General features: G+C 36.6%; 1 long non-coding RNA gene across 1 annotated transcript; it reads left to right on the top strand.

Annotated features, from left to right (window-relative positions):
• Nucleotides 1-8627: 8627 nt before the first annotated feature.
• Nucleotides 8628-10548, top strand: LOC124904566 (uncharacterized). Its single transcript, XR_007066967.1, has 2 exons — nucleotides 8628-8746; nucleotides 9107-10548. It is a non-coding gene; the product is annotated as an uncharacterized LOC124904566 (long non-coding RNA).
• Nucleotides 10549-16624: the final 6076 nt, after the last annotated feature.

The following is a 16624-nucleotide window of genomic DNA, read 5'->3' as shown; positions in this document are numbered from 1 at the left end:
TAATGGCCAAAGTAAGTACCTTTAAAATGCCTAAACTAATTTACTTGCATGCTCAGTTTTAAAAAGCCAGCTCCAAGATAAAGCAAAATAATCAAGAGAGTTATTTTCAGTGGTACTTAAAAGTGTCCAAAAGAGGTTCTAATAAAGTTTTTTCTTTATAAGAAAAAGCAAATAATTGTTTCAGTCTCTAAATGTATAAAGACTGCTAAAATTTATCCTCTTTCTTCCTCATGTCCTCCTTCTTTTTGTCCAATATTATTTAAACTACCTTACCAAGACCTACCTCTTCTTCCTCCACCTCCTCTACCACCACCTCCTCCTTCTCCTCCTCCTTCACCACCTCTTCCTCCTCTATCACCTTCTCTTTCTCCTCCTCTTCTTCCTCTTTCTCCAACTCCTCCTCCTCCTCCAACTCCTTCTCCTGTCCTGGCTCCATTTCTCAAACAGCCAGTGTCTGGCTGGGAAAAGCCTGCCCCAGTTTATCAATCATGGTGAAAGGTAAAACTTAGAGATATACTTTTAAAATTTCCTGATTTTTACCAGGACCCTATGGTTTTTCCAGGAAATTTAAATTAAATATTTAAGCCTATGACCCTGGCTTGACTTTAAAAAATAGTTATTATTTTAAATAAAAAACGAACACAAGCTCTTGTTACTAACACAAGCTCTTGTTAACACTGGAGCCTCTTTATCTGTAATAAAGCCCAACTTATTACAAGATTTCATTCCTTGGAGTAAGCAAAGAATTCCAATGGTAGATGTCACAAATAATCCTTTGTCAACATACAAGTCTCAGCCTGTGGCTTTTCAACAAGGTCCCATACAAGGGACTCATGTTTTCCTTCTGGTTCTATCAGCTCCCATCCACCTTATAAAAAGATGATTCTTAAAATTATAAAATGCTCACCTTTCTTTCTCCCAAAAAGGGAAAATGTATATAGAATTAAATAATAAAACTGAATTACTAGACATAACAAATTTTGAAAGTCTAATCCAATTGCAATCCATATTGCCATAGAAGACACTAAATTATTGAGTAATAAAAAATTACAAAATCTGCTAAAGGCAGCTCCTGATTAATTGTTAACAAAGTCTTCCACTGATATTGGAGAAATCATCTCAGCTATCCATATCAAAGTTCAAATAGGTCCATCAAAACTTCTTCCAAACTCAAATAATATCCTTTGAGGAATAAAGCACTAAAGGGAATAAAGACTAGAATTTTAGGATTTTTATATAAAGAGAGGATTGATTATTCCCTCTACAAGCCCATGTAACATTCCAGTCCTTCCTGTAAGGAAACTAAATGGTAAAAGAAGGAGGTTTGTACAGAATCTGAAAGCAATTAACAACACAGTCATTCTTAACATTCAGCAGTGCCAAACCCCCACATGTTGTTGGCTGCCTTTGCAGCTGAAGGTGGTTATTGAATGGAATAGACTTATGTAGTGAATTCCTTAGTATTCCTTTAGATAAAAATAGTCAATTTCTGTTTGTCTTCACTTGGGAAGACAGACAGTACTCATGAACAGTCATGCCTTAGGGACACACTGGGAGCCAAACTTACTTTTCACAAATGTTTAAAAAGACCTCTCAGATGTTGACCTCTTTAAAAAATCCTTTTAAATATAGTTTGTAGACAATTTTCTCCTCTGCTCAGAGGATGAGCAGAACTCTATAGAAGATGAGATTTACTTGTTATAACAATTACCTTTAAAGGACACAAGATTTCTAAAGCAAAACTTTGATTTTGTAAAAAAAAAAATTAGAGCACTTAGGCCACCTAATATCTTAGGAAGGACTTATTGTTAACATGGACAGACTGAAAGGTATATTAAAGTTTTCACTACCACGAACCAAGATACGGGTGAGAGAGTTTTTGGGATGGCAGGATAATTTAGAGATTGGATCCCAAATTTTTCTTTAAAAACCCAGCCCTTATAGGCTGTCTTCAGGCAAGACATTCCAGACCCTCTGGAGTGGACAGAAGAAAATCAACATAGTGGCTCATGCTTGTAATAACAGTACTTTGGGAGGGCAAGGCAAGAGGGTTTCTTGAGCCCGGGAGTTCAAGACCAGTCTGGGCAACATAGTGAGACCTCTACAAAAAATAAATAACAAAAAAAGATAAAAGATGACCTTGCTAATGCTCCAGTTTTGGCGTATCCAAATTATAACCTTCCTTTTTATTGTTTGTATGTAAGAGTGCTGGTAACGCTCTAAGGGTCCTAACTCAAAAATGCGGAGAACAAAATAATCCTGTAGGGTGCTATAGCCAACAGACTTTGTAACAAGAGGAGTGCTAACTTGCATGAGAGCTGTAAAAGCCACTGCTTTGTTAAGGCAGCTAAAGAAACTTTAATGGGAATATACTTTAGTGTTTTCATTTCTCATTTTGTGGAAGTAATGCTAAACTCACACCCCATTCAACGTTATTCAGTTAGTAGAATAGCTTCATATAAAGTTTTACTTCTTTCAGATTCTCATATCACCATCTCTGGTTGTAATAACCTAATTCCTGCATTCTTCTACTTCCATTGTCAGCTGAAACTGCATAATTGCATAACTCTAACTGTTCAACTGCTCTTTTCTAGGGCTGGCCTACAAGAGATTCCCCTTGCTAATGCTTGATATTGTTTGGTTTACAAATGGATTTTACTTTAAAAAGTATCCTTAACTGAAGAAATAAAAAGTGCTTAAGTTCCAAAAGTCACTTTAAATCAACAAACGAAATTAATTACATTGATTGGGGCTCCTCAATTAACAACAACAACAACAAAACTGCTAATATTTCTACAGACAGTAGATATGCCTTTGAAGTAGTTCATGATTTTTTAATATCACAGAAACAGACAAGATTTTTAGCCTCTTCTGGTCAACCCATAAAAATTGAACACCTCAGGCCGGGCGTGGTGGCTCATGCCTGTAATCCCAGCACTTTGGGAGGCCGACGCAGGCGGATCACCTGAGGTCAGGAGTTGGAGACCAGCCTGGCCAACGTGGTGAAACACCATTTCTACTAAAAACACAAAAATTAGCCAGGCGCGGTGGCACACGCCTGTAGTCCCAGCTACTCAGGAGGCTGAGGCAGGACAATCTCTTGAACCCAGGAGGCAGAGGTTGCAGTGAGCCGAGATCGTGCCACTGGATGACAGAGGGAGATTGCCTAGCCTGGGCGACAGAGGAAGACACCATCTCAAAAAAAAAAAAAAAAAAAAAAAAAGGACACCTCATTTCAAAATTGTTAGAACCTATAATATTACCAAAGTTACTATTCACAATTAGAATTCCAGGTCATTCAAAATCAGATACCCCAGAAAACAAACAAACAAACAAAAAAATGAGCTAGCTGATAAGTTAACAAAAAGAATTGCTCTAAATGCATCTAATTAAGAAAACAATTGACATTAACTTAAAAAATCTACTTTTGATTTTAAGAAGTAGCTTAATCTAGAACTCTAAAATCAAAACAGAAAAATTGGAAAGCAAAAGGGGGAGGATACACCTCTCAAAATGAGATATGGTATGGGTCAAATGATTTGCCTGCATTTCCTGCTGACTTACAGTTATATACATGAGCTAACTCACTGGAGCCTGAAGACATGATTGCTTGGGGAAAATAATATTTTTTAAAACCTTTTTGAGCTATAGCTCATTGTTACAATTGTTCAAAATATAATCCAGGGAAAATATTACATGGCTCCCAAGTATATTTTTCTTTACCTGAGGTCCCTTTTGAGGTGTGGCAATTAGATTTCATCCAGTTGCCACCCTCACAAACATACAAATACATCCTGCTAATGATTTACATGTTTTCTCACTGAGTAGAAGCATTTCCCTACAGAAGAGCAATGGCTTTAACAGTGAGTGAAATTCTGTTTAAAAACCATTCCAACCTGGGGAATTCATAGCAATAGAGGTACTGACTTCACTGGGCAAATTTAAGTTTAATCAGTATGTAAAGTTTGGTCTAGTCGCCAACATTTCATTATGTTTACTACCCCCAGTCATCTGGGTTAGTGGAAAGCACCAATGAAATAATCAAAACTGGCAAAATTAACTGAGGCTTTTAGTATGTCTTCCCCAAAAGCTCTTCCACTGATTCTACTTAACCTGAGGTTGACCCCCTTTTGCTAAATACCAGTAATCTCCAATCAAATTTATAACAAGCAGACCTATGAAATTGTCTCCAGGAAACTATATGTCTTCAATAGTAAAGGGAGACATGTTTAGCTATTACAACGGTCTTATGAAGCAACTAACTAAAAATTATAAATTGGTGAAATAATCTTTTCACAGCAAGCTCCCAGAAGATGGGAAATTTCAAAAGCCACGCAGTCTAGGAAATTTCATCTATTGGCAAAGACTTTTTTTTTTCTTTTTTTGAGAGTGAGTGTTGCTCTGTTGCCCAGGCTGGAGTGCAGTGGCACAATCTCTGCTCACTGCAACCTCCGCCTCCCGGGTTCAACTGATTCTCCTTTCTCAGCCTCCCGAGTAGCTGGAATTACAGGCACCCATAACCACACCTGACTATTTTTTGTATTTTTAGTAGAGACAGGGTTTCGCCATGTTGGCCAGGCTGGTTTCAAACCCTGACATCAAGTGATCCATCTGCCTTGGCCTCCCAAAGTGCTGGGAGTACAGGCGTGAGCCACCGCCTCGGCCGGATATGACATTTCTTAAAGAGCTCTCTTCAGTGAAAATGCTATGGACCTGATCGAGTACTCCTCACCAAACCTCGTTGGTGAAGATTCATGCGTTAGCATTTCTCATCTAAAAAAGAATGACACTCCTGGCTGGACTCTTCCCTGAAAGGTGATCTCTGACTTAAAATAAGTCAACACCAGGTTAGGAAAAAGATGGCATCCGATGTGGACAGCTAAAACACAAAACCCCAGACCAGGTCTGTATCTAAACAAACTGTTTATGCTAACGATTGTTAACAGATGGGGAGGATTTTCTTTTATAAGCTCCAATTAAACTTTCTTCTTTTTATCCCTAATTCTTATGTCTTGGTAGAAGTATCACCAGCTATTGTGAAGCAAACCACTTTTTACAATGGGCCCAAGACTATGCTGATAGCTTACGAAAAGACGCTTATTAGACCCATGGTCTCATGTGTCTTTCTAGTGATTCCCATTTATTCATATTTTAAAATGACAGTCTGGCTGAAGATACTGTACACTCTGGCTTTTGATGATACTGTACAGAACAAGCACCATAGGAAGAGCGTCTTGGTAGAAAAATAAAACTCTAACTAGTTAGCTTTTTTTTTTTTTTTTTTTGAGATGGAGTCTCGCTCTGTCACCCAGCCTGGAGTGCAGTGGCGCGATCTCGGCTCACTGCAAGCTCTGCCTCCCAGGTTCACGCCATTCTCCTGCCTCAGCCTCCCGAGTAGCTGGGACTACAGGCGCCTGTCACCACGCCCAGCTAATTTTTTTTTTTTTTTAATTTTTAGTAGAGATGGGGTTTCACCATGTTAGCCAGGATAGTCTCGATCTCCTGACCTTGTGATCCGCCCGCCTCAGCCTCCCAAAGTGCTGAGATTACAGGCGTGAGCCACTGCGCCTGGCTACTAGTTAGGTTTTACTCTGACACTACCTCAACTAAAACAAAAGACAAAAACAATAAACAAATAAAATGTTGCTCCCCCAAAGGACAACTTGATTTCAAGATGATATAGTACAAATTCGGAACAGGTTTATTTGTCTCACTCCTTCTTTTGGCCAGCTTAATCAACACGTCTCTTTATGTTGGGAACAAAAAATTACACCAAAGATGAATGGCCCACTGCACTAGAGATATGGGAAAATGCCCAAAACACAGTCACCCACACCGTTATATTACAAAGTGCTGACTCACATGCCACTAATTAGAGACAATAACTGGGTATTTATTGGTTAGCTCCAACTAAAATGTCTTGGCTATCTACGGCCATAGTTACCCCAAGATGAAGAGGACAATGTCCTCTGGGTTATACTTAGCTATAAGGTCAAATAGTTCACATGCTGTCAAAACCAACAATTTTTCCCCGTTTACAATCTCAATAGGTATATTCTATGTTCCATTGGTGTGACCATTTAGCTTCTTTCTTTATACCACAGCTGTGTATTAAAGATGTCATTTGACATATAGAGGCCCTAACCAATTATATCCAAAAGGCCCTAAGCGACAGCTGCATTTTCTAACTTGTTATTAAATGATAAGATTCCATACCTTGCTATTAATTAAGTTACTGTCATAAAAAGGCTATATTACAAAACCACATGACTTTAGACATATACACTGTAGCCCAAAAGAAACCTGTGCTATCCTGAAAACTAAATGTTGTGTCTATATTACAGTTAAGTCAAATAACGTGACTAAATTAGTGGCTAATATAAAAACCCAAGTAACCAACCTTCAGATCCGACATGTCCTCTAAACAACTTGCTGAATAACTGGTTTGAATCACAGGAAACTTGGTGACAAACACTGTTACATATTCTAAAAATTATAATCATTTGTTTGTTGTGTTTTATCCTGTTTTTGTCTCCATTACCGTATGATATTTGTCTTCAAGTCAATATACAACTAAAAAACCAAAGTAATGATTGTTCAAAAATTTGCTTTGATTACAGAGATAGACATGTAGCCTAACCAGGTTCCAAGACTACTTTCCTTTTGTTTCTTTGTAATTCGGCCTTGGTCCTTTCTAATATTTCTCTCCTCCATGGTACATGACTTCCTAAAAATGAGTCTTCCTAGCAATGTGAGATTCGATCAAATATGCGATCTGACTAAATAATTCTCCTGCAATGCTTCCTCTTAGAGTTTGAAAGAAAGAGGGAAATGTAAAAAGAATGAAAATTTCAGGATCACCCCAATTTATTATGCCAAGGGAAAAAATGATGCCCTAGAAACAGACTCATTTGACATGGCTGTTTTTCTTCTCTGGTGTCTGGCCTTTGCTTCCTGACCTTTGTGTTAAGATGTTAAACATTAACCAGACTCCCTATTCTTTATTCAAACCTAGACTAAACGATATTAGAGAGATCCTTGTGATTGTTACCTCTTTATGATAAAATGTTACATAACCTTCTTAGAGTGTAATCAGTACTAGCCAACCAAATCTTATTATCTGCATGTCTGTGTTGGAAAAACGTTGTAATTTTGTTCACCAACTCGATTTTTGCCTATACAAATGATCCTCATTTTTTCTCACAGCAGGAGCACTGAGCACCATTCTTTGGTGCAGCTCTGTTCCCCAGATGGCCACCTTCACACTTTGTGCTTGAATACACTTTCTTTAAATTAGATTTTGTTCCTTTTGGTTATTTTAGGTTGACACAATGGAGATCATTTCAAACCATTGCTGTGAGGGTTAAATAATTTATGTAACTTACTTAGCAGAGTGCCTGGAATGTAGTAACCATTAAATAACTGATAACTAAAACAGATACCGGACATCCGTGCTCAGAGATATGGAGAATTAATTGAATTATTACAAATAATGGCAATAGATTTAAAGGGTAAAGCACCTAAGATATTTGACAATTTATCCCAATATATTATAAAAATATGATTAATGATATCAGTCTGCATTATCCAAATAATATATTTTGCACCAACAGGAAATTAACTATTAGGTTAAGTTTCTTCTTCTTGGAAGTTAATAATCAGAATAAACATGGTTAGTTTAAAAAGCAATTTTTATATTATACACATGATATCTTATGGCCATTCCCATGAAAGATTACAGTAATTTGTCACTTTTGTGCAAAGCCCTGGAGCTCTGTTCTTTTCTCATAAAAACTCTTCACATTTCTTCCTCGGAATTTCTACATTCTTTTATGTACATTGACCTTGAGCAATGATAATAACTACTGCTTGTGAGGGGAAATACCATTAGCCATTTTTAACTCTCCTTAAAAGGATTGTTGCTGCTGCTGCTGCTGCTGCAGCTGGAGATAATAGATGCAGAGGTGATTTCGCTAATGAAGTATGGTCACAAAGAAACCACTCAAGGTTCTGGTGCTCTTTCCCTGAAGAACAGTGTAGGGGCCAAGGCAATGCTTCCCCTTCACCCTCTGAATGTTTGCTGAAAATCAATAGACAAAAGAGATTTATTCAAGAAAAGGCATACAAATGTATTTGATCATGGATTTACATGACAGGAGACCTTCAGAATGAAGACCCCAAAATACAAGGGAAACTGTCCATTTTTATGCTTAGGTTCAACTAAGTATGGACTGTCATGTAGAAATATGACTGGACAAAAAGGGAATGATCTAATGCTAGTGGACTGAGTGGGGAAACCCAGCAGGGCCTGTCCGTCTAAATTCTCTTTGTCCTCTCTCTGCAGCTTTCCTTCCTTCTGGGTGTGGGGCAGGACTGTCTCTGGAATGGGGGTCTTATGACCTACAGTCAAATAAGGTAGATCAGGTAAGTTCTTTTTATTTTATTTATTTATTTATTTTTTGAGACGGAGTCTCGCTCTGTCGCCCAGGCTGGAGTGCAGTGGCGCCATCTCGGCTCACTGCAAGCTCCGCCTCCCGGGTTCACGCCATTCTCCTGCCTCAGCCTCCCGAGTAGCCGGGACCACAGGCGCCCGCCACCACGCCCGGCTAATTTTTTTGTATTTTTAGTAGAGACGGCGTTTCACTGTTTTAGCCAGGATGGTGTCGATCTCCTGACCTCGTGATCCGCCCGCCTCGGCCTCCCAAAGTGCTGGGATTACAGGCGTGAGCCACCGCTCCCGGCCCAGGTAAGTTCTTAATGGCAACATTTTACAAAGAAAGGTGGGGGATAAAGAGTAATATTTTTAGGTTTTATATCTGGCTTTGGGGAAAAGAGCTTCTGGTTTCTACAACCTGCCGTGGGGAAGAGAGATTCTAGTCTCTATGGCTAGTCTTGAGGAGAATGAGAGGCATTCATTCTCTCGTAGGCACCCCTTACAAGAAGGTCGGGGAAGGTCTAAGAGAAACTTTTGCTTCTCAGACTGAAGAGCCTTCCTTTTAGGGCATCATTTTCTGATCCCCAACAGCAAGTTGCTCCTCGTATGAAAAACTCATTTTTTTTAACAGATAATTTAAACACTTTTTCTTTCATCCTTCTTTTGCTACAGATGTCTGATTGCTTTTACAACAATTTAGAGCTGTAACAGAGGTCAGAGGAACGCGGGCAAAAGAAAAACAGAAAGGAGAGAAAGCTGTTAAATTTCTGCTTATCCCCTTCATGACAAATGGTTTGTTTTGGCGGTTGGTTGCACAAGGACTGTTATGGGTTCCTTATAATTTCAGTCGCTCCTATTTCACTGACTGTTCCCATTAGCATAAATAAGACAAAATGAACAAATTCCCTCTGTCCCGATGTCATAAATTCTGAAAGACAAAAACCAAAATAAAAGAATGCAATTCAGTACAAGAGGACAATGGAAGTGCTAGCATTACTGACAACAATGATCTTACCTAGAGCAGTACTAAAATAATTTTTGCCCTAAATGGTTCTTAAAGGATTGAAGAGAAGCTGGACTGGCTATACACACAAATCAAATAGGATATTTTATATTCAAAAAGGAAAGGAGGCTAACATTTTAAAATGACTACTGTGGGACATACTTTGTCGCCATGTTATTTCATTCAGCATTCACAATAAAAAATATTTTTTTTATTTGTTGTTCCTTTTTATTTGTTGAAGGAAAGACTAAGAAAAAGACAGTTTTCTTAATCAGTCCTTTGCTTAAGGATCGCTTAAGGCAACCCAATTAAATGGCAGAGCTAGTAATTTAATTCAGTCCTGCACGATGTACTTCCTAAAGTGCCATATCCACTTAAAATGGAAAAAGAATGTAGGCAAACCTTGAAGCTTGGCAGGAGAAAGCAAGACGTAAAAAGACTTAGGAACTAGAGGAGTGAGTGAGATGTATAATCCTTTGTTTTGTTTTAATTTTGAATAAGAGGATTAAGGAATATTTTGTCTTGATATCCTTCTCTGAAACTGGTTAAAAATAAATGTTCTGTTCTTCATAGATGAAAACTGAAGGTATCCTAAATTGGCTGCACAGGCTTTCTGATAGGCAGTAAGATTTTCTTCCATGACTCCTGGATAACAAAAGACTCCCAGCTGACACGCCCTCATCCCTGATTAGAACTATTTAAACCATAAGGAATCCCTAGATGTTCCCCTGTATTTGCTTCTACAGATGTTATTAATTTTGCTTTTATATAGAATCAAGACCTTTATAAGTTAGTTTTAAGGGGTAGTGTTAGGTAGAGGTCAAGGTTAAATTAAAATTTTACTTGTTCCCTTTTTTGACAAATAGTTTGATTTGGACGCAGGTTGTAACAAGGACGGTCATGGGTTAGAAACTTAGAAAGATTACATAACTTTTCAAAAGTCATCACACTATTAAGTAGAGGAGCCAGGACTAATTGCAGGAAATCTTTCTCTCTAATCTGTGCTCTGGACCACTGAAATTAACCCCTTTTCAAGGGATTATTGAAATTATGGTAAATAATTCACTGTTGTTACTGCTACCCTATTATAAATTAAACTCATGTAAACTTTTGTTGTTTCTAGACTGTCATTGATTTATTTATGTTTAACCAATACTATACTGTTTATTCTTTTGATATCATGCAGGAAATAATGCTCATTTATATATTTTTTCATGGGTTTAATGAGGTAGAATTGACGTACAATAAACTAGAGTCTTTCTTTCATCCCTTCTCTTTTCTTAGGCAACCACTGATTTGCTCTATGTTATCATAGATTAATTTCCATTTTCTAGAATTTTAAAAATGGAATCATACAATACATACTCTTATGTGTCTTTTTCACTAAGCATAATTATCTTTTTAGGTTTATCAGTAGATTTTTTATTGCTAGGTAGTATTTAATTGTTGGAATGTGCCATAATTTCTTTGTTCATTCTTCTCTTGATGGGCATTTGCATTATTTATGTTTCTGTGAGATTACAAATAACGCTGCTACAAACATGTATGTGTCAGTTTTCATGATGATATATGCTTTAATTTCTCTAGGACAAATACATAGGAATGAATGCCTGGGCTATATGTTAGGAGTATGCTTCACATTTCAGGAAGCTGACTAAGCATTTTCCAAAGCGATGGTATCATTTTATATTTTCATCAACAGTAAGTTCCAGTTGCTCTACAACCTTGTCAGGAGTTAATATGGCCTGATATTTTATTTTAAGAAGTGTATTTTATTCATTTTAATGTCTCATGATTTTAATTTGCATTTCCCTAATGACTAGTGATGTTAAAGACCTTTTTAACGTTCTAATTTATCATCTATTTTGTGACACGGCTATTCAAATTCTAGCCCCACCCTTTGTATTGGTTTGTTTTCTTATTGTTGAATTTTGAAAGCTCTTTATATATTCTAGACTCAAGTACTTTATCAAGTAGGTAATGTGCAAATGTCTGTTCCCAACCCATGACTTATCTTTTTATAATCCTTTGGAGAGAAGAATTTCTTAATTTGAAAAGTCAAGTTTGCCAAATTTTACTTTTATCATTTGTGCTTTTAATGTCAAACCCAAAGTTACAAAGACTTTATCCTCGATTTTCTCCCAGAAATTTAATAGTTTTAGTTTTCCATTTAGGTCTATGAGCCAATTTAATTTTTTATATGATGTGAGATAAGGATTGAAGTTATTGAAGTTATTATTGAAGTTTAAATGGATGTCTAAATGTTCCACTACCTTTGTTGAAAATGCTCTCTTTTCTCCACTCAATTTCCTATAAGCTTTGTCAAAAAATGAATTGGCTCTCTCTCTCTCTCTCTCTCTATATATACACACACACACACACACATCTATATATATTATATATATCCTATATTTTTTATATATTGAATATATATTTATATATATTCAATGTCTATATACATATACATACATATATATATATATATATATTTCTAGGCTTTTTTTCTAACCCATTAATTTATTTGTCTATCTTGAAACCCATAGCACACTGTCTTGGTGACTTCAGCTTTAAAATAATTCTTAAGTTGTTTTGCCTTTTCCAGGTCCTTTGCATTTCCAGATGAATTTCAGAAATAGCTTGTCAACTGCTCTAAAAATGCCCGTTCTTATAGTAATTATTCTTGCACCATCTCTGTAGATCAAAATAAGAATTGTTATTTATTTTAACAATATTAATTCTTCTTATCAACAAATAAGATATGTCTTTTCATTTGTTTACATCTTGTTTAATTTCTCTCAAGAATGATTTATAGTTTTCAATAAAGAGGACTTTTGTAAGATCTAACTGTAAGAATTTCATCTTCTATGTTATTATTCAAGTTGATGTCTTCTGTGAATAGACACCATTTTACTTATTTCTTTCCTCTCTGGATACCATTTTTTTCCATGCCTGATTACACTGGCTAGAACCTCCACTACCTTGTTGATTGGAAGTGGTGAAAGCATACATTCTTGCCTTATTCCTGATACTGGGGGGAAAGTATGTTATTTGTCATGCTACATTTTATCTGTAGGGTTTTCATAGGTTCTCTTTATGAGACCGAGAAATTACTCTTTTCTTTCTTATTTGTTGAGAGTTGTTGTTTCATTTTATTTTACTTTGAGATAGGGTCTCACTCTATTGCACCACTGGGAGTGAGAGTTTTTGTTTTATTTTATTTTACTTCGAGATAGGGTCTCACTCCCAGTGGTGCAATCATGCTTGAAATCATGGTGAAAAGGAAAGTAAACACATCCTTCTTCACATGGCAGCAGCAAGAAGTACAGAGTGAAGGGGAGGAAAAGCCCCTTATAAAACCATCAGATCTCATGAGAAGTCACTTACTATCACTAGAACAGCATAGGGAAACCACCCCCATGATCCAGTCACCTCACACCAGGTTCCTCCCTTGACAAGCGGGGATTACATTTCAAGATGAGATTTGGGTGAGGACACAGAGCCAAATCATATCATTCTGCCCCCGGCCCCTCCCAAATCTCATGTCCTTTTTACATTTCAAAACCAATCATACCTTCCCAACAATCCCCCAAATCTTAACTCATTTCAGCTTTAACTCAAAAGTCCAACTCCAAAGTCTCATCTGAGACAAGGCAAGTCTCTTCCACCTATCGGCCTGTAAAATCAAAAACAAGTTAGTTACTTCCAAGATACAAGTTAGTTACTTCTCACTCCTAGTGGTGCAACCACAGTCTCCCAGTGGTGCAATCACAGCTCACTGCAGTCTCGACTTCCCAGGCTCAGGTGATTCTCCCACTTCGTATTATGTAAATTATGTAATACTTAAGTTATGTAATACTTACATAATTTAAAGGGGAAATAGGCAATTCAGCAATAAAACTTAGAGACTTTAATAATCCATTATCAATAATTGATGGAACAAATAAAAAAATCAGCAAGGATATATAATACTTGAATGATACTGCATCCAAATTAATCTAATCTACATCTATAGAACAGTCCATCCAAAGACAAAAGAGTACACATTCTTTTTTAATGCTAATGGAACACTGTGTTAGTCCATTTTAAGCCTGCTTTAAAGAACTGCCTGAGACTGGGTAATTTATAAAGAGAAAAGGTTTAATTGACTCATAGTTCCACATTGCTGGAAAGGTATCAGGAAACTTACAGTCATGGTGGAAGGGGATGCAGGCACGTCATATATGGTGGCAGGCAAGAGACAGAGAGTGAAGAAGAAACTGCCAAACACTGAAGTTTTACCTTCATGTAATTTCAAACTTTCTTTTTTGACACAATAAACAATGTGTGTACTTATTGCTGTAAAATTTTGCTGATGAATTGACCATTTAAAAATTATGAAATACCTTGTCTTTTGTAGTAATATTTACTGTCTTAAATCTGTTTGATCTGATATTAATATAGTCACTCCAGCACTCCAATAATTATTATTTTCATGTTACATTTCTTTCCATTCTCTTATTTTCCTTTTATTAATTAAGATGTACTGTATGTACCATAAAATTTATCCTTTTAAACTGTCAACTAAGTGGTTTTCAATGTACTCAAAATGTTATAAAACCATAGCCATTATCTAATTCCAGAACATTTTTTGTCATTCCAAAAAGAAACGCTATACACATTAGCAATGTCACTGCCCCTGGCAATAACTTACCTACTTTCTGTCTCTGTGGGTTTGCCTATTTTGGGCTTTTTCTACAAAGGTGTTATACAATATGTAAACTTTTGTGTCTTGTTTCTTTCATCTGGGATACTGTTTTAAAATTCTTCTATGTTGTAGCATGCATCAATACTTTGTTCTTTTTCATGCCTAAAACATATTCCACTGTATGAATTGCCACATTTTATTTATGTATTCATCAGTTGAGGAACACTGTGTTTTTGTTTATTCATGTTTTTATTTATCTTTGGCATATATCTGTGAAATTACTGAATCATACGGCTAACTTTAGGTTTGACTTTTTGAGGAACTGTTGGAGCTTTATTCAAATACCTGCATCATTTTACATTCCCACCAGCAATATATGAGGGTTTCCACTTCTCCACATCCTCCATCCTCAACAACACTTGTTACTGGCTTATCGTATTTTTTTTTTTTGAGACAGAGTCTCGCTCTGTTGCCCAGGCTAGAGTGCAGTGGCGCAATCTCGGCTCACTGCAAGCACTGCCTCCCGGGTTCACACTGGCTATCATTTTTTTATAGACAGCCTAATAAGTATGAAGTGGTAACAAATTGTGGTTTGGATTTACATTTTCAGTTGATAATGATGTTGCACATCTTTCCATGTTCTTATTGTCCATTTGTGTATCTTCAGATAAATGTCTCTTTAGATTCTTTGTCAATTTTCAAGTTAGGTTTTTGACTTTTCATTCTTGAGTTGAAATACTTCTTTGTATATTCAGGATACTAGATTGATCTTACTTATCAGGTATGTGATTTGCAAATATTTTCTTTCATTCTGTGGGTTGTATTTTTCTTAAAGGTATTCATTTAAGTGCTAAAATTTTTAATTTTGATGAAGTCCAATTTATCTATTTTTACTTTTATGGCTTGAGCTTTTGGTGTCATATTTCAGAAACTATTGCCTAATCCAGTGACCCTGGAGGGTCACACCTGTAGTTTCTTCTAATAGTTTAAAAGTTTCAGCTCTCATATTTAGCTTTCAGATTTGCTTTGAGTTTATTTTCTCATATGCTATGAGGTGGGGCTCCAAATTCATCCTTTTGCATGAGTATATTCAGTTGTTCAAGCACCATTTGCTTTTTTGTTGTGGTTTGTTTTAACTTTTGTTTTTGGTTGGGGGTATATGTGAAGGTTTGTAACATAGGTGAACAAATGGTGGTTTTTGTACACATTATTTCATAACCCAGGTATTAAACTCAGTACCCAGTAGTTATCCTTTCTGCTCCTCTCCCTCCTCTCACCCTCCATCCTCAAGTAGAACCCAGTCCAGTGTCTGTTGTTTCCTTCTTTGTATTCAGAAGTTATTATCATTTAGCTCTCATTTACCAGTGAGAACTTGTAAAACAACTTTGGTTTTCTGTTCCTGAGTTAGTTTGTAAGAATAATAGCCTCCAGCTCCATCCCTTTTCCTGAAAAATACATGATCTCGTTCTTTTTTATGGCTGTATAGTATTCCATGGTACACATGTACTACATTATAAAATCCTGTCTATCATTGATGAGCATTTAGGTTGATTTCATGTCTTTACTATTGTAAATAGTGCTGTAATGAACATTTGTGTGCATGTGTCTTTATGTTACAATGATTTATATTCCTCTGGGTATATACCCAGTAATGGGATTGCTGGGTTAAATGGTAGTTCTGCTTTTAGCTCTTTGAGGATTCACAATACTGCTTTCCATAATGGTTGAACAAATTTACACTCCCACCAACAGTGTATAAGTGCTCCCTTTTTCTGCAACCTTACCAGCTTCCGTTATTGTTTGACTTTTTAATAACAGCTCTTCTGACTGGTCAAGCGCCATGTGTAAAGTACAATGTCTAGGTTCCCTTAGAAAAACTGTTTTATTTTATTTTTTCAGCATAAGAACTATACTTTCTGGTTTAATACTATGTGGCAAAACTGGAAATTAGATTCTTCCTCCATTACAGGGTTTTTGTTTTTGTTGTTTATTGTAAAAGTTGTTTGTTTATTTAGTGACTTTTCTGAAGTAATTCTGTAAATTCTATCTTCTTTGTCATGTGTGGCCACTAAACTCTCTGCTTAGTTAGCTTAAAGGACTGTAAATAATTGGAGAGATATTTTCTTAAACAAAAACCAGTCATTCTTCCAGTCTTTGCTGAGGGGCTGTGTGTGTGTGTGTGTATGTGCATGTCTGTGTGTTGGAGCATGCTTTCAACACTCTGCTAGCCAGTTGGCAACTCTACCTCAGCCTCAGCCTCCACTTCCTGCTTGCATAGAGCCTCAAGGCCAGTGAAAGAGGCTTATTTAGGGCCATCTCAGGTCTTTCTTGGGTATGCATGTGGCTTTCTAGGTGCATAGGAACATAACTGAGTTTTTAAAAGCTGCTGTGAACATATCATTCCACAGCTTTTCTTCTTAAGCTATTTGATTTGTTTTGTTTGCCTCAACAGTTATTCACTACCTTAGGCAGGCACTAAGTTTATTAGTTGTATTTTCTTTTT

The sequence above is a fragment of the Homo sapiens genome, chromosome 1 (genome assembly GCF_000001405.40).
Source record: "Homo sapiens chromosome 1, GRCh38.p14 Primary Assembly".
Classification (NCBI taxonomy): Eukaryota; Metazoa; Chordata; class Mammalia; order Primates; family Hominidae; genus Homo; species Homo sapiens.
This window is presented reverse-complemented; position numbering and strand designations above follow the sequence as displayed.